Source organism: Homo sapiens, chromosome 10 (assembly GCF_000001405.40).
Source record: "Homo sapiens chromosome 10, GRCh38.p14 Primary Assembly".
In the NCBI taxonomy this organism is placed as follows: domain Eukaryota; kingdom Metazoa; phylum Chordata; class Mammalia; order Primates; family Hominidae; genus Homo; species Homo sapiens.
Window position 1 is genome coordinate 64,899,909 of NC_000010.11, and position 25,818 is coordinate 64,925,726.

A 25,818-nucleotide genomic window follows, 5' to 3' on the forward strand; every position below is an offset into this window, starting at 1 on the left:
TGTAAGATGAAAAATGAAAAAATGTGTGGACCAGTAGAATGTATTAGAAGAGGGAAAAGTCAACAAGAAGAAAGCCATTTGTACCACTAAACCCCCAACATATTCTTCAGTGAACAATGTCAATAGCTCTAAGATATTAACCAAGAAAAAGCATCTATCAACACTGGTATTTAGGCATACTCCTAATTACCTGCCTCTTTATTCAGAAACAATGCCTGTTTGTTATTATATAGGCTCTGTCTTTCTTTATCCATAGAGCTTATCATACTTTGTAAAGCCCTGTGTATACATATAAATTTATATCCAAAACTCAAATTTAGTTTGAGTAGTACCGTATCATAAACAGAGTCCTATACAAACAAAACCATGAACTTAGAGGAAATTATGAAAATGTAGGTAACAACAGATGATGTCAATAAAGCCTATAAGAACCTCTGTAGAGTTGAGAATAGACATGACATTTATGAAATAAGATCAAATTTTCATGAAATGGGATTATCTTAAGCATAAGAAATAACTTTTAGAAATTAAAACCATTAGATCATAAATAACAAATTTGAAAAAGCTTTTATAATCTTGGGTAAAAATGTAAAGTGTTAATATATAAGGAAAAATATGGCAGAATAGCAGGATTCATCTAGTTGGTCCAAGGTCTGGCTCATAGTAGTTCCAGAAATATGTAAGATAGAAAATATATGGGCAATAATTAGCAAAGAATGATACAATGCTTTGTGCAAAGTTAATGACATGAGTTTCCAACCTGAAAGAACTCACATAATATGAGCAAAATCAGTGATCAAGGAGCAAGATAAACATCAAATGCTGATGTCAAGAATAAAGACACAATGCTAAGGGTAAAGAGTAAAAGTGAAGGTAACAGCCAAAACCCCACTACCACCAAAACAGCAGCAAAAGCAGAATCTCTGTATAAAAAAATCAGTAGGTGATTTCTCAAGAGTAATATAGATATCTAAAGAAAATAGAATTATGCCCTTAAGTTGTGAAAGAAAAGTATTAACAACTAGAATTGTATATCTATCCAAGAAATAAAAAAGTTTGACAACATAAGAGAGACATTTTTAGATATTCAGAATCTAAAATAATTTATTTCTGTACATAAATATACTCCACCATCAAAAGGTGGAGAGGATATAGGATCTGATTTATTCTATAGTAAGAAATGACTGAATAACTTCAGCTAATGTTCAAAAAAGAAAAATCAAGACATAACAATATAACTTTATTTTTTAGAATTATGGACATTAACAATGAAAGAAAGATAGTGAGGAAATGTAAAGTGGTTATACATTTAAATCAAATGTGGAATTTGTCACATTTTTTCTTGATCAATATCCAGCTCCTTTTATCATCAATCACCTGTCCTCATGTTTACTTGATATCTGACAAATTTAACCACTCACAGGTAATTTTGAATTGCTTTCCTTTTTCTTCAAGCATCTTCCTCCTTATCCTTTACACAAAGCCTGGAAAACAGGGGAAACCATCCAGTTCAAAAACTGACAGGGAATCAAGAAAATATCACTAAAGCTTTAGAAAACATCACATAAAAATTTAATAAGATTGGGCAGACAGTTATACTCAACAGGTGAAACATGTGCTATCATAATAGAATAATGTAATATGTAGATTTCTGTTCTCTTCAGGTTGGAGATTGAATCCAACTCCTGTTTTAATTTAGGCACACTTGGATTCTGGCTTAGAATTGGATATGAACTCTGAATATAGATATTTACGCTGGTCATGTTGGTTTGTTTAGAGATGAGCTCTGCAAAGTCTGAATGCTGTTGCACATTTGCTGCCCCACTAAAAAGATAAAAAAAAATTTTAAAAACCACAATTGATCATCCAGAAAAGGGATAAGAAAACCTGATGTTCCTAGACGTTGAAGTGATCACCATTAGAAACATAACACATAACGGCCACTCCTCAATCAGCAGTTCGGATCTGGACTGATCATCTCCACAGATGACGATTATATATCCTCTAGTTCAGGATGACAAATGATCAGGGCTGAGTCTTTGGTCTGGGAAATTTTTGCTTAAGAGGACAAGAATAAGACTATAAACCCTCACTGTAATATTTAAGACAGTAATGAAACCAATTTATCTAACCAAATTGTTTGCTATCCGAGCAATTAAATATTAATCTAACAATTTTCTTACCAAGAATTACTTCAAGGTTTCTGTCTTAAAGAAGTCAAACAACCCTAAATGATTATGTGACAAAATTATCCAATCTCAAAAAGCAGTCCCCTTAAAAGACAACCAAAGCTCAGATTCAACAACCATGTAAACATTCATTCATAATTTGCCCTTTTTAAGACTCTTTCAAAGTAGAGTTCTTTCTTATTGTGGTACTTTTAATGAACTTAACTTTGCATTGTCAACAGATAGTACACTGGTTTTTGTAGGGAGCTGATATTTAGCAGGGATTTCTTTCATCAACTTACCAGACTGGTTAAAAAATCAAAGCCCACATATACCTGAGATACAAGCCATGAATGTACTTTTTTCTGCTTTTTTTTTTTTTTTTTTTTTTTGAGACGGAGTCTCGCCCAGGCTGGGGCGTAGTAGCACAATCTCGGCTCACTGGAAGCTCTGCCTCCCGGGTTCATGCCATTCTCCTGCCTCAGCCTCCCAAGTAGCTGGGACTACAGGCAACCGCCACCACGCCCGGGAATTTTTTGTATTTTTAGTAGAGACGGGGTTTTACTGTGTTAGCCAGGTTGGTCTTGATCTCCTGACCTTGTGATCCACCTGCCTCGGCCTCCCAAAGTGCTGGGATTACAGGCGTGAGCCACCACGCCCGGCCGAATGTACTTTTTTTTCTGATAAATAGCTTTTGATTCACTGAGAGTCATGGTAGACTGATGATGCTTTTGCTTTGCTTATAGAGAAAGTCGATTTGACCTCTTTACATTGTCTTAGTTTTAGTTCCTCATCTTCAGTGTGCTTGAACATTCTTGTCTTCAAGAAAAGAATATAGGTGTGAATACTCATTCCTTGTCCAATAATCCCTGTGATTTTATTGAAAAGTACTGTGTTTATTACTTTAGCTCTGACATTAGGAAGACTTTTGTTTCATTCATGTCTGTGGAAATCCTGAATAGTGCCTGGGATCTCATTGTACTCAATCATATTTGTTGAATTAATGAAAATATTAACTTATTAATGGTTTTTAACTTTCTATTCACTTCTGACAACCATGGATTCAATTTCTTTCACAGGCGAATATCTCTTTATAAAAAACTATGTATTGGCCCGGTGTGGTGGCTCATGCCTGTATTCCCAGCAGTTTGGGAGGCCAAGGTGGGTGTTTCACAAGGTAAGGAGTTCAAGACCAGCCTGGCCAAGATGGTGAGACCCCGAAAAATACAAAATAAATTAGCTGGGCGTGGTGGCACTATTTGCTATTTCCATGTATTTGTAGCCTGAGGGTTTCTGTTCTGATCTTGTTGGTCTTCTCATGTTATCAAACAGTATCTCATCCACTGCACCTAGTGAAAAATTGGGAAGGAAGGAGAAGAGAAAAATTTAAAGGACTAATTTAAACCTGAATGAACTGTTTAGATTTCTGAACAGTAATAAATTTTAGCCTTGATTTTATTAATTTTAGACATTCTGTTTGCTCCCCAAAACATGGTAGTGCTTATGAAGGAGATAAAATCAGCTATAGAGAAGTAAGAGTTGCATTTCTTTTATAAAATGAACTTTATTAAAGCATAACTGATGAGTGAAATTGTATGTATTCATGGTGTAAAATGTGATGTTTTGATATATATGTATAGACACTGTGGAATGACTAAACCAAGCTAAATCATATATCCATCACCTCACATACTTTTTTTTTTTGTAGTGATAACATTTAAGATCTACTTTTTTGGCAATTTCAAGTATACAATGCATTGTTATTAATTGTAGTTTTTGGACTATACGATAGATACAATATTTGGTATTAATAATACCAAAACTTATTAATCTTGTGTAACAGAGACATTGTACCATTTGACCAATATCTCCCCATTCCACTCTCACCCTAATCTCTGGCAACTACCAGTCTACGCTGCTCTATGAGTTTGAGTTTTTTCAGTTCCACATTTAAGAGAGATCAGGCAGTACATTCTTTTTTTACAACACCGTAGTCATGTTAGTAAATTAGTGACTCAACATTGTATGCCTTTTTCAGAGGCTTCCTCAGATTCATTTTTGTGCATCAGAAATCTTGTTATAAGCGCTGTGTTCATTTTATATGTATTATAACTAGGATTTTTTTTTCTTTCAGAACATTTTAAAATATATCTCTTATCAGTGAGTCTGGGGCATAGAGGAAATTGTTTGCCGTTCCTCAGGCAGGACACTTTTTCTTTTTTCTTACCCTCTGCATTCCTTCTTCCTAACTAGAGAAGTGTTTTCTCCTATAAGAACATATCAATTTAGTGCTATGATAGGAAAGTATTTGTAAGAGGAAGATATTTATCTGATAAATGTTCCACTTTGAAACATCTGAATAAACAAATGGTACTAACTTAGGAGGACCTTGCTTACAAGGACCCATGGTCTTGCCATTGGTTAGTGGACTCTAGCCTTGATCACAAAAAGTGCCAGCAAGACTGATCCAGGACTTTAAAAGATGGAAAGCTGTAGAAAAAGATGATGGGAAAGATTCTAGGAAAAAGAATAGTAAATTCAGTGCCTATCTAAAATTGACCTTTTGAAATATAACTCATTTTTTAAAAAATCCTTTGGTGTTCTAAATATGTTTATGATAAACTATAATTATTTTATTGTACCTACACATTTTTTGAGATGCTGGATTAATGCTTCAATTCAAAATGTGGGAACTTACTATGTATTTAATATGACATTAATGTTTAGTCCCATCTTCTCTGTTCTATGCACCCTTTCCAAAAAAATGTGACTTCATGATTTACTCATTATCTGGAGTAAATGGTGAGAGTTCCGCTAAAATATATGGTGGATTGTTTTAGTTGACTTTCTAAAGTTTAAATTATAGTAATATGGAGAAATAAATTGGGAATGTTGAAAATAAGTAAGACAGTATGTTGAGTTGACTTGTAAAAATGATTAGGAAAAAGAGGACGTGAGGGAAAATAATTAAAAATTCTAAATCTGGAACCACACAATGTTGTGGTTTAATATGAAGTTAGTTAAAACTGATGCAATCACTCATACCTAAAAAAAAAGTGTTTCTATTTATTGTCTTTTTATTTTCAGGATACTTTGTAATTATAATAATTTAAAATGTCAACTATAGTTCAGTAGTTATAATTTAGCTGATTTCACCTAAAAGTACTTAAACTAATTTCACATATAGCCCAAATATGCCAATATTGTTACATTTCTTATAATCAAAAAAGTTAAGTGCTTAGTTACCCTTCACATATATGCAGTTGAAATTAATTTACAAATTGATTTCCTGATTTTTAGCAGTAAAACCAATGTACAGTATATCCAATCAAGTTTGTTTTATAGGGCTAAATCATCAAATATGCTGTTGCTTATCCAAAAACCAAATTGAGAGATGGCTAAAAGTTTGGCTTCCCCTAATAATTTAAATTATTTGTGTCACCTATATTTCAATAAAAAGGAGAATTCTGAGATCCATGACGACACACCACTGCTTCTTTAATGCATTGATGTAACAAGCTGCTGAACAATTATAGCTTCAGATTATACTTTGAAAGAATATGAAACTCATTCAATAGAAATAGCTTTTGGTTTTATGCTGAGCATGGCTTTAACATTTTTTTTTCATACTTCCAGATTCCAAGAAGAAAAAATTTCATTTGAATTTCTCTCTGTTTCTGTCTACTTTCTTGGTAAGTAGCTAGACCAAGGAATGGTTTGGGAAAATGCATAATCTCTCCATAATCTCCGTAAACTAACTATGTCAAAGTTGCTTGAAATCAAATAGGCAGATAGATTTCACCTAGACATGTCCAAAAAAGAAATTCTTTGAGGTCCTATTGCTCTTGGCTATTATCCATACTCCACTAACCCATGTCTTTGTGTTCCTGGACAGAACCGAGGGTCAGGCTGCTTGTTCTCACAGCCTAATAATGAGAAGCAGATGCCTGGGAAAGAAGAGAGTTTATTTCTGTAGCCAGGTACAGAGAGAAGGCTGGGAAAATATCACTAGATCAACTCAAAATTACAAAGTTTTCCAGAGCTTATAGACCTTCTAAGCTATATGTCTATGTGTAAGTGTGCATTCATCTAAAGACGGAAGTGATTAACTTCTGATCTATAACTAAGGCTGAGTCCTGAAAGCCTTCCTCCGGAGCCTCAGTCAATTTGCTTATCTAGATGGGCCCAGGTGCTGGGGTGATTACCCTTATCTTGTCTCTTCTAAATCATGGAGGTTTGGGGAGTTCCTTTAGACTCCCAATAAAACTTGTTCGTGGAGGTCTGGGGAGTTTCTTCAGACCCCCAATAAAACTTGTTTAATCCTAAACGGGTCCTGTTAAGAATTCCTTCATTATCTTGTCATGCTTCAAGGCCCAGGCAAAACTCTTAGTGGACTTTTTCTACATTCCAGCCTTTATATGAGGGCTCTGGCTCTATCAGCTTTTAATATTTAACTTAACCACTCAGTGCTGAAACAGTTGTCATGGAGGCCTGTCTGTTCAGCTGTTAGTGAGACCTGGCTTGCCACATTAGTCTCCAAAATAAATTTGTATTTATTGATTAAAATATGTATAAATTGTTCCTTAGCTACATAAATATAAGAAGTCATAACTTTCAGCAACAAGGATGTATATAATATTCTTTGGGCTCCATCCTTCATCTAAGGTTGGGTTAATTTCATTCTTTCTCTATAGAAATACTCTGAAGTTAAATTTTTCCAATGTCTCAATAGACACATTCCTATAACAACATTAATATTTTAAATGAAAAACATTATGAATAAATTTTGAAATTTGATAATAAAATTAGCCTAATGATTTCTTATTTATATGTCACAACCATTTAGCAAAATGATTTCACAGTAATTGAGGTTTTTAAGGCTAAGAAAGCAAGTAAAAAGAAACAGGCATATTAAAAGGCCTTATGCTAAAAGTTATTAATATGAATTATGATACTATATTAGCATGTTATCAGGAGAATAATTAATTTTCACCTGTCATTTCAATACAATCGTGTATAAATAAAATTATTATAAACTCAGTTATATAAAACATCCATTTAGATAATATAGAATTCAAATGTTATAGTAACATTAGCACTATAAAAATTATGATAAATATTAATACAATTATTAATTATAAATATTTTAATTGGGGTTTATTTTTATTAAAACCAATTATGAAAAATTCTTCTCTACATTCAATTTTTACAAAATTAAGATAAAACAGGAAAAAATGCACATAATTTAGAAAATGGCCATGATAAACCTTTTAAGATGTAGTATGTTATAGTTTAACACCATCCAAACAAAAACAACAAGAAAGATGTAGTATTTAGTAACGATGGTGAATAAAACATAATAAAATCTCTTCTTTTCTGGAAAACAAGTTAAAATATACTTGTTACAATTTTTTAAAAAATTGAATAAATAGTCTTGAGCGCAAAATAGGTGCCAGGAAGAGAGAGAGAGTTCACTGAAAGATGAGACCTTTCATGCTGTCCATGGAAGTTTGATGATATTCAAGACCTTAGGGAGGTGTTGGGGCCTTATCTATTGGGGTCCAGTTCAAAAGGCTGAAACCACATTCATAATTGAACATAGGAGATGTAATGAAATAATTATTAAGTTGATAAAAGGTATTCATTATAAATAGGGGTAAAGAAAACACGTAATACAGTAATAGCAAAACTAAGAGATGTCAGCAAGCTGGGAGACCTCAATATTAAGTGATGTACTAAATCATCCCCCACCCACAGTTAGTGCGTATCACTCTGAAAAGCAGACTTGCCCAGGTATGGAAATAGGGCTCAAAGACACACATCTAATAGGTTCAGAACATTGCCAGTATTCATGTAGTGTATATATTTTTTTCCTATGCCCTTTGCTAAAACAAGTCATTTGGTGCTAAACTTGTGTTTTCTGTGAACCTAATTGTCTACGTGGACCTTTGTGATCATGCAACAATAGGTATGTGTGTGCACACACACAAACACACACACAAAGAGCAAGTGATAGAATATTATATATATATTATCATACAAATCTAATCCTACTTTCGTAAAAATAAAAACGATAAAGCAGAAACAATCTGTATTTATTTATCTGTGCATGCATGTGTGTGCATTGTGTTCCTAAAGTTTGATAAAACCTTGTTTATGATGAGGTGAGAGACCTAGCTTTGCTAACAACAGTGAAGGAGAAATACACATCTACTTATAATTTTACTGTAAAAAACATCTGTTCATTTTGTAAAACAGCAGCTCTATTTAAAAAAATCATATTATGATGGATATATGTAATTTTGCATTTTCCAAAATCTATAGAATAAACAAAGAATAAACCCCAATATAAATTATGTACTGTAGTTAATAGTGATATCTTAATATTGGTTCATTAATTGTCATAAATGTTCCACACAAATAAATAAACTGTGAACTCTGTGCAGGGGAGAAGGGTGTGTATGAGGATTCTCTGTCTTTTCCACCCCATTTTTTGTAAATCTAAAACTGCTCTAAAAAAACTATATTAATTACAAAACAGTCAATATGAAAAATAATGGAAAATAATTATGGTATATAATTTTTTAAAGTTGTTATATCAGTAGACCAGAAATGCTGTTGAGATTTTGGAAAAGACAAGGCAGGTAGTATTAAAAAACAGTAGAGAAGACACGAATCTAAGACAAACCAAAGTGCATCGTTTCCCAAAAGAGTCATCAGAGAGCTCCAAACCTAGCATAAATTACACTAAGATCTGGGAAGGGTGTGGGTAGGAGAACTGTATTTGTAAATTGCTGCAGATGCCAGCCTATGCTTTTCCTCCACAGAACTTACAGCTGGGAGTGATAGCCTCTGCTCTTAGGTGAAATCTGGGACTTTTTTTGTGGAAGAAATTTCACTCTGCCTAAGAAGAAGTGTAAGGAAGAGTATTAGTTCCTGTGTAGAGAAACAGAGAATCTTAGGGTCTCAGGAACTGAGGGAAGTGTAGAGAAGGAGGAAGGAGAGAGAGAATCAATTTTTCCCCCAAAGTGAAATAAGCTAATGTTCTCCCCTAGATTTATCTTTGTCACAGTAGTTTGGGGGAGTTTGCTTCCTCATGTCAAATCCACGCTCTCTCTAGAGTAGCTGGTCTATCATCTGGCAGAGAAGCCAATTAGGGAAATATACTTAACACAACTAGAGAGGTAAGTTGCACCAGACATCTATACTAAATAAGGGAACCTTGCTTTCATAAATTTGAATAGAAAAACAGAAAGTAACACAAGCAACAGATAGTTTAAAGAAAAACAAAATGAACAAAAACACTCAGATGACCAAAGAGAACTGACTTTAAGGAAATTGACATTATTAGAGGACTAGAAAATAACTTAAAAGTTATGTTAGTATTCCTAGAGGATTGAGAGAGTATTTTATACACAGCATGCAGAGGTTAATATAAAGATGAACAAAATGAAAGAAGGAAGAGTTTTTGGAAAATTAGGCTGTGACTATTGATATAAAAAATCTACTGGATAAATGAACAAAACTATATTAAACTTGGAATGTGAAATGAGAGGGGTGAACATTGAACACAGATCTAAGTGTATATAGGAAACCAGTTGATTATTTACTGAAAATTAAATGTAATATAAATCTAGAAAGCATTATATTTGTATGCCAAATTTTCATAAAAAAATAGAACAGATCAAATGGAGTTGACAAAGAAAAAAATACAAGAAAAATTCACAAAGCTAAAGATAGTAATCCTTTGATTGAAAGTATCAACCCACATGATAAAGAACAAGAACTCCCAGAGACTCAACTTTGTAAAGTTTCAGAACCAAACAATAGGGAGCAAAAGCTAAAATATTTTGGCAGATATTTTGTAATGTTTTTATTTCAAGCATTTAAACATTAAGTAGTAAACAAAACTTGTTATATCTGGAAAGAAAGAATAAAGATAAACGCGAGAAATTTTCCTATTTTATATTCTCTTCTAAAGCTCTTTGAATTTTTGTATTTTTCTTGGCTTTGTGCATGCATGATTTTTATTATTTTAAAAACCTGTTATAAAAATCAAGTGCATGATATACTACTATTTCATTACCGTGATTTTTTTATTCCTACAAATTTTACTGGGCTTTACAAAATTGTGTCTAATTCAAGTTCGCATCTTTTGCTAAAATAATATTGGGTAATATTTATAGCAGACTCTGTGCTCAGGCTGATCCTAACCATTTTGAATGGCTTCTGAGGACTTCCAGCACCTACCTCTCTGGAGCAGAGGGTCTTTTCCTGGAATTTAGCTGCTGAAGAACTGTGTTAGTCTGTTCTTATGGTAAATTAACACCTCCTGGTAGCAGCCCTCAGCAAATGACTCCAGAGAATTGGTGATTGCCTTGTATGCAGTTTCATGGTATGTGGTAATATGGGGGTTAATATTTCATCCCTGGCTGTCTTCATTTCCAGGTACCATTTCCCTGTTCCCCTAATTGAACTTCCTATATTAACTAGGACTATTTGTATCTTTGCCTCAGGGTCTTCTTTTGGAAGATCACAAACTAGACCAGGTCTGATTTTAGAAAACTTAATACAGATTTTTTTCAATTTATTTTTGATGGCAATGAGGCAGTAATTTATTTTTCAATAACTATTCAAAATATTCTCTAATTTTTTGCCCAAGAAACATCCCATTAGTTTTATCTTCTTTGTTTTGCTTGCAAGCTGTCAATTATGGCAAAGTTTTCCTTACAAAATTAGAATATAAGTAACGAAATTTTTAAACATCTTATATCTTAGTCACTTACAATTAAATAATACATATACTTGCATTTGAAGCCATAATTTTTCATAACAGAACTAATAAAATGGGCTTAGTATTTCTATCAAAATAGTATATTCATAATGTTTCTGATCAGATAAATATATACTAAACTTACAAGTAGCATGAGTTAAATAAATTACTTGTTTTGATTATAAATGGAATACAACAAAATTACATATAAAATGTCTAAAGTATTGAAAAACAAAATTTTAACATACGTAGTATTTCGCTGTATTATAACACGTAAAAATCATCAATTTTACGTGCACTACAATTTATCCCATTGAGACTAACTGTACACACATAAGTTGCTTTTATTTATAAGTTTAACAGAGTCTGAATTTATTCATGAATATATTAAACCATATTTACAATTTGAAACTGACAAAAAGACTCATTTATCGAAGAAAAAATGAAGATGACTTAACCCAAATATCTATAGTTGCTAATAGAAGACTGTCTTTCCTTCAAAACTATCATCAAGCTATGTTTAGATGTTTGTCTCTTTAATAATACTTATAGAGCTATTTTAATTACAACATTCAAATTTTTTTCAATTTAAAGAAAAGATACTGTATTTTACTTTTAAATGTTGATACCTGCATAATTTTTCTGGTATTCAGAAAAATATGTATAAAACTTTAACGAGAATTAAAAAGATTTTACATGGGTAGAAAAGTAGTCTAAATTCCTGGATCTTTTCTCTGTAAGGGGCATCACAGCCTTTTTGCACTTGGAAATGTTGGACAGCACTTCAGTACTGCTTTTGGGAGACATTTTAAACAGCAAAATCACCAACAAAAAGAACGAAGATGCAAAAACATGGCACAAAATAAACCATGAGGTTTACGATACTTGTTTATCATATGGGAGATAAAACAAGAAGGCAGAGTGTCTCCTATTACCTCAGCTGGGAATGCGTGTTGACAGTGATCTAAAATTTTCACCACTCTGCACATGTCTGCAAATAACTGCAAAAGTGCCACAAGTATAGATTTTTAGGTTACAAATTAATTTTAGAAGAGTAGGCAAATTCACAAATATGAAATCTTCAAATAATGAGGATTGACTCTATGTATGTTTGTGTGTATTTGTGTATGTGTGTGTGTGGCTAACTAGGTTCTAGAGTAATGTTTGCTTTCCATCTTTAAAAAAATTCTGTAATATACATAGTCACCTCAAATGTGAATTTCCTGTTTTTCCATGTCAGAAACAAGGGAATAACAGGCAAGTTTATATGGTTCTAATAAATATTTATATTTTAATTTTTATAAAAGGAAAAATCAAACTACATAATTAATTCAAAAGGAGAAAAATTTTAACAATTGTACCCATTAACTGAATATCATACTTGTATACTATCAAATATAGAACCCATTACAATCTTTGTGTAATTTCTCTCCCATTAATTAGATTACTGACAAGATAATCAGTAAACATTACACTTTTTATAATTATATTTACCTTTATAAACATGATACATGGTCAACAAAATAAACATTCAAATTCAACAGAAAAGTAATTCAGAATTTAACTTAAATCCTCCTAGAAGTCCAATTTTGAAGGCTTATTTTTTATTTTTATCCATCAGAAAATAATATGTATTTTGGATTTTTTTTTTTTTTTTTTTTTGAGACGGAGTCTTGCTCTGTTGCCCAGGCTGGAGTGCAGTGGCGGGATCTCGGCTCACTGCAAGCTCCGCCTCCCGGGTTCACGCCATTCTCCTGCCTCAGCCTCCCAAGTAGCTGGGACTACAGGCGCCCACCACCACGCCCGGCTAATTTTTTGTATTTTTAGTAGAGACGGGGTTTCACCGTTTTAGCCGGGATGGTCTCGATCTCCTGACCTCGTGATCCGCCCGCCTCGGCCTCCCAAAGTGCTGGGACTACAGGCGTGAGCCACCGCGCCCGGCCGGATTTTTTTGATTAAACAAAATTAAGCTGTTTTAAATTCTAAAATATAGCATACATTCATGAAGCTACATAAGACATGCATTACAATTTAACAAATACATTATAACAACTAGGTGTTTTTCCAGTGTTTTTATAAGGTTTGCATGTATCTACTCCCAAGTCCAAGGCTGAAAAATACACTATTGTAATACCCAAGCAGTTTCACTGGTAGATATGTAGCAACAACTGTAATTTTAATTTTTTTCTTATTGTTATGATTACAAATGAAACTCAGAACTTTTTTGTACTATTATTATTGATTTTGTGATGTGTACGATTAAGTCTTTTCCCTATCTTTTCATTTCTTGTTTATTCTAAGTAAGTTATTCTCTATATATTCTGGATTCAGGACATTCAACAGTTTTATGAGTTATAAGTACCTTCCCTCATTCACTTTTTTAAGGTATTGTTTGAGGAAATAGAGTTCCTATTTTGATAGAATTAAATTTATAAACCATATCTTTGTTGACAGTGTCTTTTGTATTCTAAATAAGAGATATTTACCTTCCCAAGGTCTTGATGATATTTCTATAATTCTTTCCTGGAAATGTATTGTTTTATCTATCGTAATACATCTAATATTCACTGAAAATTGGGTTTGTTATATTATGGTGTGAGGTACAGACTAAAATTCATGTTTTTCATATAGGGGAAAATTTATCTTGGCACCATTTATTGAAAATATTCTCATATCCTTCCAATTTTTTACATATATCTGACATTTTTGAAATATCTGCTATTCATGTCTACATGAATTTTTTCCTTAAATCTCTAAATGATTTTGTCTTCCTATTTGTGTATTACTTCATTATTACCACAATACTTGCAAAGTTTAGATTTATAAGAAGTTCAGATGTCTGTATGGACAAAATTTCTACCTTGCACTTCTTTTATCTTTAATAGAGTTTTAAAAATGTTTGCTATTCTTATTCCTTTGCCTATCCATTTAATTTAATTTGATTTTACAGTTTTGTTTTTAATTTATAAATTATAATCATATATATTATAGTCTAAGATGTATTGTTATGATACATGTGTACATTCTGGAATGGTGAATCAGGCTAACATATCCAGCACCTTAACAGAGTTATCGTTTCTTTCTGTGTGAAAATACTTGAAATCTACTCTTATAGCAATTTTGAAGTATACAATACATTATTATTATTAACTACAGTCACTATGCTGTGCAATAGATCACTAGAATATATTCCTCCTAACTGAAACATTGTACCCTTTTGACTAATAACACCTTTTTCTGCATATTGCTGTCCCTCATTAGCCTTCTGCAATGAATATTTTACTCTCTACTTCTATGAGTTCTACTTTGTTAGATTCCACATATAAGTGAGATCATGCAATATTTGTCTTTCTGTGTGTGGGTTATTTCACTTAGCATAATGTTTTCTAGATTCATCTATGTTGTAGAAAATGACAGAATTTTCTTCTTTTTTAATGCTAAAAGTATAGCATTGTGGGAATACCACATTTTTAGAAATTCATTCATCTGTCGATGGGCCCTTAGGCTATCTCTATATCTTGACTACTATGAATAATGCTGCAATTAACACAAGAGTGCAGAAATCTCTTTAACATACAGACTAAATTTCTGTTGGCTACTCAAAAGTAGGAATGTTGGGTTATGTGGTAAATATGTATTTAGTTTTTTTAGTAACCTCTATACTGTTTTCCAAAATGGCTGTTTACATTACATTCTCACCAACAACATATAAGGGTTTTCTGTTCTCTACATTCTAGCCTATACATTATTTATCATCTTTTTGATCATAGCTATTCTAAAAAGTATGAGGTGATAGCTCATTGTGGTTTTAATTTGTATTTTTAAATTATTAGTGATGTTGAATACTTTTTCCATTTATGTGTTGTCTATTTGTGTGTTTTCTTTTAAGTATTCATGTCCTTTGCCCTCTCTGAATAAGGTTATTTGTTTTCTTGTAATTGAGTTGTTTGAGTTCTTTAGGTATTTTGGATATTAACGCCTGACAAGATATATGGTTTGTAAATGTTTTTTCAAATCTATGAGTTGTCTGTTCACTCTGTTAATTGTTTTCTTTGTTATGCAGAAGTTTTTTAACTTTATGTAATCGCAATTGTCCATTTTTGCTTTTATGACCTATGTGGCTAGAGTCATATTGGGGAAATTATTGCCTAGACCAATGTCATAGAGCTTCTCTCTTATATTGTCTTCCAGTAGTTTCACTGTTTTAAGGCTTATGTTAAAGTTTTTAATCCATTTTGAGTTGATTCTTGTATATAGGGTGTATTTGTCTCTTCTCACACTGCTAATAAAGACATATCTGAGACTGGGTAATTTATAAAGGAAAGAGGTGTAACAGACTCACAGTTCCACATGGCTTGGGAGGCCTCACAATCATGGCTGAAGGTGAATGAGGAACAAAGTCACGTCTTACATGACGACAGGCAAGAGAGCATGTACAGGGGAACTCCTCTTTATAAAACCATCAGATCTCATGAGACTTATTCACTATCATGAGAACAGCATGGGAAAGACCTGCCTGCATGATTAAATTACCTCCCACCAGGTCCTTTTCATGACATGTGGGGATTATGGGAGCTACAATTCAAGATGAGATTTGGGTGGGAACACAGCCAAACAATATCACAGGGTAAGATGAAGGTCCAATGTCATTTTTCTATATGTGGATTTCCAGTTGTCCCAATACCATTTATTGAAGGAATGTGCTTTCCCCATTGTGGGGATGTTGGCAACTTTGTCAAAAATCAGTTGATTGTAAATATATGGGCTTATTCTGAGCTCACTATCCTATTCCATTGAACAACATTTCTGTTTCTATGCCAGTACCATGCTGCTTTGATTAGTATAGCTTTGTAGGATAGTTTGAAGTCACATTGTGTGATGCCTCCAGCTTTTTGTTCTTTTTGGTCAAGACTGCTTTGGCAGTTCAGAGTCTTTTGAGAGTCTATACAAATTTTAGTATTGTTTTTTCTATTTCTGTGGGGAATGACATTGAAATTTTGATGGGAATTGCATTATTTTGGGCAGTATCAACATTTTGGCAGTATTTTTTTCAACTCATGAATACAAAATGTGTTTTTATTTATTTGTGCCATTTTTAATTTGTTTCATCAATATTTTATAGTTTTCAGCATACAGAATTTTTAGGTCCTTGGTAAATTTACTTGTAAGTATTTTTTGATGCTATCGTAAATGATATTATTTTCTGTATTTCTGTTTTATATAGTTCATTGTTGTATATAGAAATGCTACTGATTTTTGCATGTTGATCTTGTGGTCTGCAATTTTATTAAATTAATGTGTCAATTCTAATAAATCTAATCTTAACACAGTTAAGAAAATTAAAATCATATCAAGTATCATTTTTTGACAACAATGGTATAAAACTAGAAATCAATATCAAGAAGAATTATAAAACATTGATAAATATGTGGACATTAAACAATTAAAAGGGAAATTTAAATGTATATATATGTATGTGTATGTTTTTGTGTATGTGTGTATGTATCTTGAGTTTGATACAAATGGAAACATAAATTACCAAAATTTAAGAGACACAGTAAAAACAGTAAAGAGGAAATTTTATAGCATTAAATAACTACCTCTCAAAAGAAGAAAGATCATAAACCACGAATGTTACACCTCAAGGAACTAGAAAAAGAAAAATCTAAACCCATAGTTAGTTAGCAGTGGGATGAAAACAACAAAAAATCAGAGAAGAAATCAATAAAATAGAGACTAGAAAAATAATTTAAAGCTGCTGTATGGTGGCTTATGCCGTAATCCCAGCACTTTGTGAGGCTGAGGCAGTAGGATCCCTCGAGCCTAGGAGTTCAAGACCAGCCTGGGCAACACAGAAGGACCCCATCTCTATAAAAAAAATAATAATAATAAAAAGTAAAAAATTAGCTGGGGAGGCAGAGAAAGATGGTGGAATAGAGGGCTCCACCAATTATTCCCCACACTGCAAGGACAGGACACCAATTTAACAACTATCTACATAGAAAAAACAACTTCATAAGAACCAAAAATCTATTGAGCACTTGTAGTAACTGGTTTTAACTTCATATAACTGAAAGAGGCACTGAGGAGATAGAATACTGAATTGCCAACACCACCCCTCTTCCACCCTGAGCAGAAGTGGCCTGGTGTGGAGAGCATCTCTGTGCTCTGGAGGAGGGAGAACAAAGAAATTGTGAGGCACTGAACTCAGCGCTGTCGTGTTAGAGCAGAAAAAAAAAAAAACTTGTACCAAACTCTGCTGACACCCACTCACAGAAGGAACATTTAAACCAGCCCTAGCCAGAGGGGAGCCACCAATCCCAGCAGTCAGAACTTGAGTTCTGCAAACCTTGCCACCAAGGTTTATAGTGTCTCCAAGTAAACTTGAAAGTCAATCTAGGCCATAAGGAATGCAACCCCTGGGCCAGTCCTAGTGCTTAAGTAGGCCCAGAGACAGTGGATTAGAGAGGCATGTGACCTACTGAGACATCAGCTGGGATGGCTGTGGTATTACTGGTGTAACCCCTACCCTAACCCCAGGCTGCCCAGCTTATGACTCCAAAAGAGATCCCTGCCTTCCCCTTGACGACAAGATACAGAAGGGTCAGAGGGAGCTTGTCTTGCATCACAGATACCAGCTCAGCCACAGCAGGATAGGGCACCAGTCAGCATCATGAGGCCATCATTCCAGTCCATAGCTTCTGGATGACATTTCTAAACAGACTGTGGGCTAGAAGGCAACCCACTTCCTTAAAGGAAAGAACCCAGTCCTGGCAGCATTGAACACTTGCTAACTAAAGAGCCATTGGGCCCTGAGTAACAAGTAATGATACCCAGGCACTATGTTAAGTACCTTGGGTGAACCTCTGAGAATTGCTGCCTTCAGGTGAGACTCTGCACATTGCCAGATGTGGTAACTAGGGTGCAGAACTCCTTCTGCTTGAGAAAAGCAGAGGGAAACATAAAGGGGACTTTGTCTTGCACCTTAGGTACAAGCGAGGCCATGGGAGGTGGAGGTAGAGCACCATGTGGGTTCTTGTGGTCCCATATTCTAGGACTTCACCCTTGGATGGCATTTCTGGACCTGCCCTGGACCACAGAGGAGCCCACTGCCCTGAAGGGTGAGTGCCAAGCCAGTCAGCATTCACCACAAACTGACTTAAGAGTCACTGGACCTTAAGGGAACACTGATGGTAGTCTGGCAGTACTCCTCATGGCCTGGGGAGGTGGTGGCTGCAAAGTGAGGCCTCTGCCTTTGGAAAGGTGAGAGAAAAGTCAGAAGGACTGTGTCTTTTGGGCTGGCACTCAGTTGCAGGGCAATGGAACCCCAGGTAGACTTCTAATGCTTTTGAAACTAGTCCCTGGCTCCTGAATGGCACATCTAGACCCACCCAGGGCCTGGAGGACCTAACACTTTAGGTGGCTCAGAACTGAGAGAGAGAGACTCTGTTTGTTTGGGAGAAAGTAAGGGAAGATAACAAGAATCTCTGCCTGGTAAGCCAGAGAATTCTATCGGATCTTGTCCAAGACCATCAAGGTGGTACCTCTAGGATTCTTTAAGAACCACAGTGTTACTGGGCTTGGGGTGTGCCTTAAAGCAGATATAGCTTAGATCATGACACTTAAGTCCTTTCAAATGTCTGGAAAGCCTACCCAAGAAGGATGGATACAAACAGGCTCAGACAGTGAAGACTATAATAAATAATAAACTCTTCAGTGCCTAGACACCAAAGAAAATCTGCTAGCATCAGCACCACCCAGGAAAACATAACCTCACCAAATCAACTAGATAAGGCACCAGGGACCAATCCTGGAGAAACAGAAATATGTGACCTTTCAGACAGGGAATTCAAAATAGCTGTTTTGAGGAAACTCAAAGAAATTTGAGATAACATAGAGAAGAAATTCAGAATTCTATCAGATAAATTTAACAAAGAGATTGAAATGATTTTAAAAAAAGCAGAAATTCTGGAGCTGAAAAATGCAATTGGCATACTGAAGAATGTATCTGAGTTCTTTAACAGCAGAATTGATCAAGCAGAAGAAAGAATTGATGAGCTTGAAGACAGGCTATTTGAAAATACACAGTCAGAGGAAACAAAAGAAAGAAGAATAAAAAGCAGTAAAGCACACGTGTATGATCCAGAAAATATCCTGAAAGGGGCAAATCTAAGAGTTAGTGGTCTTAAAGAGGAGGTAGAGAAAGAGAGAGGGGAGAAAAGTTAGAGAGCTTCCCAAGCCTAGAGAAAGATATCAATATTCAAGTACAACAAAGTTACAGAACACAAGAAGATTTAACCAAAAGAAGACTACTTCGAGGCATTTAATAATCAAACTTCCAAAGATCAAGGATATAGAAAGAAGATCCTAAAAGTAGCAGGAAAAACAACAACAACAACAATGGAGCTCCAATACATCTGGCAGCAGACTTTTCAGTGGAAACCTTACAGGCTAGGAGAGTATGGCATGACATATTTAAAGTGCTGAAGGAAAAAGGCTTTTACCATAGAATGGAATATCTGGTGAAAATATCCTTAAACATGAAGGAGAAACAAATACTTTTCAAGACAAACAAAAGTGGAAGGACTTCATCAACATCAGACCTGTCCTAAAAGTAATACTAAAGAGAGTACTTCAATCAGAAAGAAAAAATTAACGAGCAATGAGTAATCCCCTGAAGATACAAAACTAACTGGGAATAGTAAGTATACAGAGAAACAAAGAATATTATAACACTGTAACGTTGGTGTGTAAACTACTCTTATCCTAAGTAGAAAGACTAAATGATGAACCAATCAAAAAGGATAACCACAACTTTTCAAGACATAGACAATACAATAACATATAAATAGAAACAACAAAAAGTTTAGAAGTGGGGGCATGAAGTTAAAGCATAGAGTTTTTATTAGTTTTATTTTTGCTTGTTTGTTTATGCAGACAGTGTTAAGTTGTTATTAGGTTAAAATAATTTGTTAGAAGATAATATTTGTAAGCCTCATGGTAACCTCAAACCAAAAAACATACAGTGGATACACAAAAAAACAAAAATTAATAAGCTAAATTATATCACCAGAGAAAATCACCTTCACTCAAGGAAGAGAGGAAGGAAAGAAGGAAGAGAGAGCCACAAAAAAAAACCCAGTAAACAAATAAAGTAATCTTAAAAAGGAGTAAGTCCTTACTTATGAATAATAGAATGTAAGTTGACTAAACTCTCCAATCAAAAGACATAGAATGGGTGAATGAATTAAAAAACAAAACCCATTGATCTGTTGCCTACAAGAAACACACTTCACATACAAAAACACATATAAACAGAAAATAAAGGGATGGTAAAAGATATTTTACAAGAATAATTGTGGAAACTATAAAAATAAATAGAAATTAAACAATATGCTCCTGAATAACCAGTGAGTCAATAAAAAAATTAGGAAGAAAATCACAAAATTTCTTGAAACAAATGATAATGGAAAGACAACATACCAAAACCTATGGGATATAGCAAAAGAGGTACTAAGGGAGAAGTTTATAGTTATAAGTACAAAATCAAAAGAGAGGAAAAACTTCACATAAATAATCTAATGATGCATCTTAAAGAACTTGAAAAACAAAAGCAAACTAAACCCAAAAGTAGAAGAAATAGTAAAGATCAGAGCAGAAATAAATGACATTGAAATGAAGAAAACAATAAAAATATCAATGAAACAAAACTAAGAAAAAAGAGAATATCCAAATGAATAAAATAAAAAATGAAAAAGGAGACATTACAACTGATAATGCAGAAATGCGAAGGATCATTAGTGGCTACCATGAGTAACTATATGCCAATACATTTGGAAACCTAAAAGAAACAGACAGATTTCTAGACACATAAAACCTACCAAGACTGAACCAGGAAAAATCCAAAACCTGAACAGACCAATAACAAGTAACAAGGTCGAAGCTCTAATAAAACGTCTCCCAGCAAACTAAAGTCCAGGAAATGATGGCTTCACTGCTGAATCCTACCAAACATTTAAAGAAGAACTAATATTAATCCTGCTCAAACTATTTCAAAAACTGGAGGAGTAGGGAATACTTCCAGGCCAGTATTACTCTGATACCAAAACCAGACAAGGACACATTAAAAAAAAACTATAGGTTGGTATCTCTGATGAATATCAATGTAAAAATCTTTAACAAACTACTATCAAATAGAATTCAACAATGCAGTATAAAGATCATCCTTTGGAAGATGCCTGGGATGGAGGATTACCCCTAAGATGCAAGGATAGTTAACCATATGCAAATTAATCAATGTGCTATGTCATATCAACAGAATGAAGGACAAAAAACACTTGATCATTTCAACCGATGCTGAAAAAGCATTTGATCAAATTCAACATCTCTTCATAATGAAACCCTACAAAAATTGGTTATAGAAGGAATATACCTCAACATAATAAAAGCCATATATGATAGACCTGCAGCTAGAATGATACTGAATGGGGAAAAACTGAAAGCCTTTCTTCTAAGATCTGGAATACAACAAGGATGCCCACTGTCACCCCTGTTATTCAAAAGAGTAGGGGAATTCCTAGCTAGAACAATCAGAAAAGAGAAAGATGTAAAGGGCATCCAAATTGGAAAGGAAGAAGTCAGATTATCCTTCTTTTCACATGATATGATCTTATATTTTGAAAAACTTAAACACTCCACAACAACACTATTAGAACCGATAAACAAAGTCAGTGAAGTTGCAGAATACAAAATCAACATACAAAATTAGTATCACTTCTATACACTAACAGTGAACAATGTCAAAAATAAATGTAAAAGTAATCCCATTTACAGTAGCAATAAGTAAAATTAAATACCTAGGAATTAACTTTACCAAAGAAGGGAATGATCTCTGTAACAGAAACTGTAAAATACTCATGACAGAAATTGAAGAGGTCACAAAAATGGAAAAAAAATTGACATGTTCATGGTTTAGAAGACTGAATATTGTTAAAATGTCCATACTACACAAAGCAATCTACATATTTAATGCAATCTTTATCAAAATATCAGGGACATTCTTCACAGGAATAGAAAAAAAATCCTAAAATGTCTAAGATTTAGAAGGAACCAAAGTTTCTACCAACAGATAAATGGATAAAGAAAATGTCGTATGTATACACAGTGGAGTACTATTCAGCCAATAAAAAAGAGTTATTTTTATTTTTATTTTCTTGACTGCATAGTACTCTATTGTGTATATGTACCACATTTATAATAATTTAACCTTATTAAATTATTATTTAATTGTAATAAAGTAATTTTATAATATTGATCATCAGAGAAATGCAATGAGATATCTCATTGTAGTTTTGATTTTCATTTCTCTGATGATCAATATTATAAGATTACATTATTAAAATTATTATAAGATGAACACCCTTGTAACTTGTAATTCCTGTCATTTTCAAAATCATGGATGAAACTGGAGCTCATGTTAAGTGAAACAAGCCAGGCACAGAAAGACAAAATCACATATTCTCACTTATTTGTGGGATCTGAAAACCAAAACAATTGAACTCATGGACACGGAGAGTAGCAGGATGGTTATCAGAGGTTTGGAAGTGTAGCTGGGGGTGGGTTGGTGGGGTGCGGTGGGAATGGTTAATAGGCACAAAAAATAGAAAGAATGAATAAGACCTACTATTTGATAGCACAACAGGATGCCTATAGTCAGTAATAACTTAGTTGTACATTTTTTAATAACTAAAAGAGTGTAATTGGATTGTTTATAACTCAAAGAATAAATGCTTGAGGGAATGAATACCCCATTTTTCCTGATGTGCTTATTTAACATTGCATGCTGTATTAACACATCTAATGTACCCCATAAATATGTACAACAACTCTGAACCCACAAAACCTTTTTAAAATATTTTAAAAGTCAGCTAAACATGGTGGCACATGCCTGTGGTCCCAGCTACTCAGGAGGCTGAGGTGGGAGGTTCACATGAGGCTAGGAAGTCAGGGCTGCAGTGAGCTACGATCAAAGCACTGCAACACAGCCTGGATGACAGAGTGAGACCCTATCTCAAAAAAAATGTAAAGAAATTTGATTTAAATAATAAATGAAATTAAGCGGTTTTTATGAGATAAAGAAAATGAACAAATTCTTAGCTAGAAAACAAACTAAGAAAACAGAGAGAAGACTGAAATAAAATCAGAAATTAAAGAAGAGATGTTGACAACTGACACAGAAGTACAGAGGATCCCGAGAGACTACTATAAACAATTATATGCCAACAAATTGGGTGACTAGGATGAAACTGATAAATTCATACACACATACAACCTACCAAGACTAAATCATGAGAAAATTTAAAATCCCAACAGACCAGTAAGTTAGGAGATTGACTTAGTAATAAAAAGTCTACCACCAAAGAAAAGCCCAGGACCAGATGTCTTCACAGCCAAATTCCACTAAACATTTAAAGAATTTGCACTAATTTTTCTCAAACTCTTTTAAAAAATTGAAGAGGAAGAATTACTTCCAAACTCATTTTATGAGACCAGCATTACTCCGATACCAAAGTCAGACAAAGACACAAGAAAAGAAAATCACAGGCCAATGTCTTTGATGACCACAGATGCAAAAATATTCAATAAAATACTGGCAAACCATATATAATCATACATAAAAGGATCATTCACCATGATCAAGTGGGATTTGTCCCCACTCAATGCAAGGATATTGCCACATACACAAATCAATAAATGTGGTACACTACATTAACAGAATGGAAATGGGAAAAAAAACATATAATCATCTCAATAGATGAATAAGTGGCATTTGAAAAAAATAAAATCCTTTCATTATAAAAACTCTCAACAAATTAGATATAGAAGAACTGTTTCTCAACACAATAAAAGCTATATATGGCAAGTCCACAGATAACATTATGCTCAAGGAAGAAAAGGTGAAGGCTTTTCCTCTAAGATCAGGAACAAAACAAAGTTGCTCATTCTCGCCAGTTTTGTTCAACGTAATACCGGAGGTCCTAGCCAGAGCAATTAAGCAAGAGAAGAAATAAAAGGCATTTAAATAGGAAAGGAAGTAAATTGTCTCTGCTGGTGACATTATCTTATACATAGAAAACCCTAAAGACTCCTCTATTTAATTTTAGAATATATCAAGTTATATAATAGTTTACTAAGCGGTGTGTTTGTTTTACATGGCTTTGGGTCTTTGCTTTATATTACAATGTATTTTTAAAAGAAAATACCATGGCAATTTTATTTTGACTATTACAAATATTTCCTTTCCTTTTGTTTATTTTTCTTTCCTTACTACATCGGCTTAACATCCCATACAACATAGAACAGAAATGGGAGTAATGGCCATTCTTACCTATTTCCATTTCAAGCATAGCTTTCAACATTTCGCCATAAAATACAGTGCTTTCGAGCCTGAGCGACGCAGAAGACGGGTGATTTCTGCATTTCCATCTGAGGTACCGGGTTCATCTCACTAGGGAGTGCCAGACAGTGGGTGCAGGTCAGTGGGTGCGCGCACCGTGCACGACCCGAAGCAGGGCGAGGCATTGCCTCACTTGGGAAGCGCAAGGGGTCAGGGAGTTCCCTGTCCTAATCAAAGAAAGGGGTGATGGACGGCACCTGGTCACTCCCACCCGAATACTGCGCTTTTCCGACGGGCTTAAAAAACTGCGCACAACAAGATTATATCCCGCACCTGGCTCAGAGGGTCCTACCTGCACGGAGTCTCGCTGATTGCTAGCACAGCAGTCTGAGATCAAACTGCAAGGCGGCAGCGAAGCTGGGGGAGGGGCGCCCACCATTGCCCAGGCTTGCTTAGGTAAACAAAGCAGCCGAGAAGCTCGAACTGGGTGGAGCCCACCACAGCTCAAGGAGGCCTGCCTGCCTCTGTAGGCTCCACCTCTGGGCGCAGGGCACAGACAAACAAAAAGACAGTAGTAACCTCTGCAGACTTAAATGTCCCTGTCTGACAGCTTTGAAGAGAGCAGTGGTTCTCCCAGTACCCAGCTGGAGATCTGAGAACAGGCAGACTGCCTCCTCAAGTGGGTCCCTGACCCCTGATCCCTGAGCAGCCTAACTGGGAGGCACCCCCCAGCAGGGGCACACTGACACCTCACACTGCAGGGTACTCCAACAGACCTGCAGCTGAGGGTCCTGTTAGAAGGAAAACTAACAAACAGAAAGGACATCCACACCAAAAACCTATCTGTACATCACCATCATCAAAGACCAAAAGTAGATAAAACCACAAAGATGGGGAAAAAACAGAACAGAAAAACTGGAAACTCTAAAAAGCAGAGCGCCTCTCCTCCTCCAAAGGAACGCAGCTCCTCACCAGCAACGGCACAAAGCTGGGCGGAGAATGACTTTGACGAGCTGAGAGAAGAAGGCTTCAGACGATCAAATTACTCTGAGCTACGGGAGGACATTCAAACCAAAGGCAAAGAAGTTTAAAACTTTGAAAAAAATTTCGAAGAATGTATAACTAGAATAACCAATACAGAGAAGTGCTTAAAGGAGCTGATGGAGCTGAAAACCAAGGCTCGAGAACTACGTGAAGAATGCAGAAGCCTCAGGAGCCGATGCGATCAACTGGAAGAAAGGGTATCAGCAATGGAAGATGAAATGAATGAAATGACGTGAGAAGGGAAGTTTAGAGAAAAAAGAATAAAAAGAAACGAGCAAAGCCTCCAAGAAATATGGGACTATGTGAAAAGACCAAATCTACGTCTGATTGGTGTACCTGAAAGTGATGGGGAGAATGGAACCAAGTTGGAAAACACTCTGCAGGATATTATCCAGGAGAACTTCCCCAATCTAGCAAGGCAGGCCAACGTTCAGATT

The 25,818-nt window shown here is 34.7% G+C and overlaps 2 long non-coding RNA genes across 2 annotated transcripts in view, besides 4 other annotated features; one reads left to right on the forward strand and one right to left on the reverse strand.

Annotated features, from left to right (window-relative positions):
• LOC105378336 (uncharacterized) overlaps window positions 1-3,331 on the forward strand; it is an 88,286-nt gene extending 84,955 nt beyond the window's left edge. Inside the window, exon 4 of the long non-coding RNA XR_946020.2 lies at window positions 3,248-3,331. This is a non-coding gene — a long non-coding RNA (uncharacterized LOC105378336). The remainder of the gene's footprint in view (window positions 1-3,247) is intronic.
• On the reverse strand, window positions 1,228-24,610 carry LINC02671 (long intergenic non-protein coding RNA 2671). The gene is made up of 2 exons (NR_134456.1): window positions 24,329-24,610; window positions 1,228-3,517 (listed from the first exon to the last, which is right to left on the reverse strand). It is a non-coding gene; the product is annotated as a long intergenic non-protein coding RNA 2671 (long non-coding RNA).
• Window positions 4,257-4,426: an enhancer, noted in NCBI's record as "experimental_14431 CRE fragment used in MPRA reporter constructs". NCBI's record gives its function as "activates a minimal promoter by MPRAs in K562 erythroleukemia cells, with activity observed for the non-introgressed 10:66664008 variant allele {active_cell/tissue: K562}" and the evidence as "EXISTENCE:reporter gene assay evidence [ECO:0000049][PMID:34662402]".
• Window positions 6,747-6,916: an enhancer, noted in NCBI's record as "experimental_14444 CRE fragment used in MPRA reporter constructs". NCBI's record gives its function as "activates a minimal promoter by MPRAs in K562 erythroleukemia cells, with activity observed for both the introgressed and non-introgressed 10:66666498 variant alleles {active_cell/tissue: K562}" and the evidence as "EXISTENCE:reporter gene assay evidence [ECO:0000049][PMID:34662402]".
• Window positions 8,950-9,150: a silencer, noted in NCBI's record as "peak978 fragment used in MPRA reporter construct". NCBI's record gives its function as "represses an SCP1 promoter by STARR-seq MPRAs in K562 erythroleukemia cells {active_cell/tissue: K562}" and the evidence as "EXISTENCE:reporter gene assay evidence [ECO:0000049][PMID:32103011]".
• Window positions 20,643-20,812: an enhancer, noted in NCBI's record as "experimental_14489 CRE fragment used in MPRA reporter constructs". NCBI's record gives its function as "activates a minimal promoter by MPRAs in K562 erythroleukemia cells, with activity observed for both the introgressed and non-introgressed 10:66680394 variant alleles {active_cell/tissue: K562}" and the evidence as "EXISTENCE:reporter gene assay evidence [ECO:0000049][PMID:34662402]".
• Window positions 24,611-25,818: the final 1,208 nt, after the last annotated feature.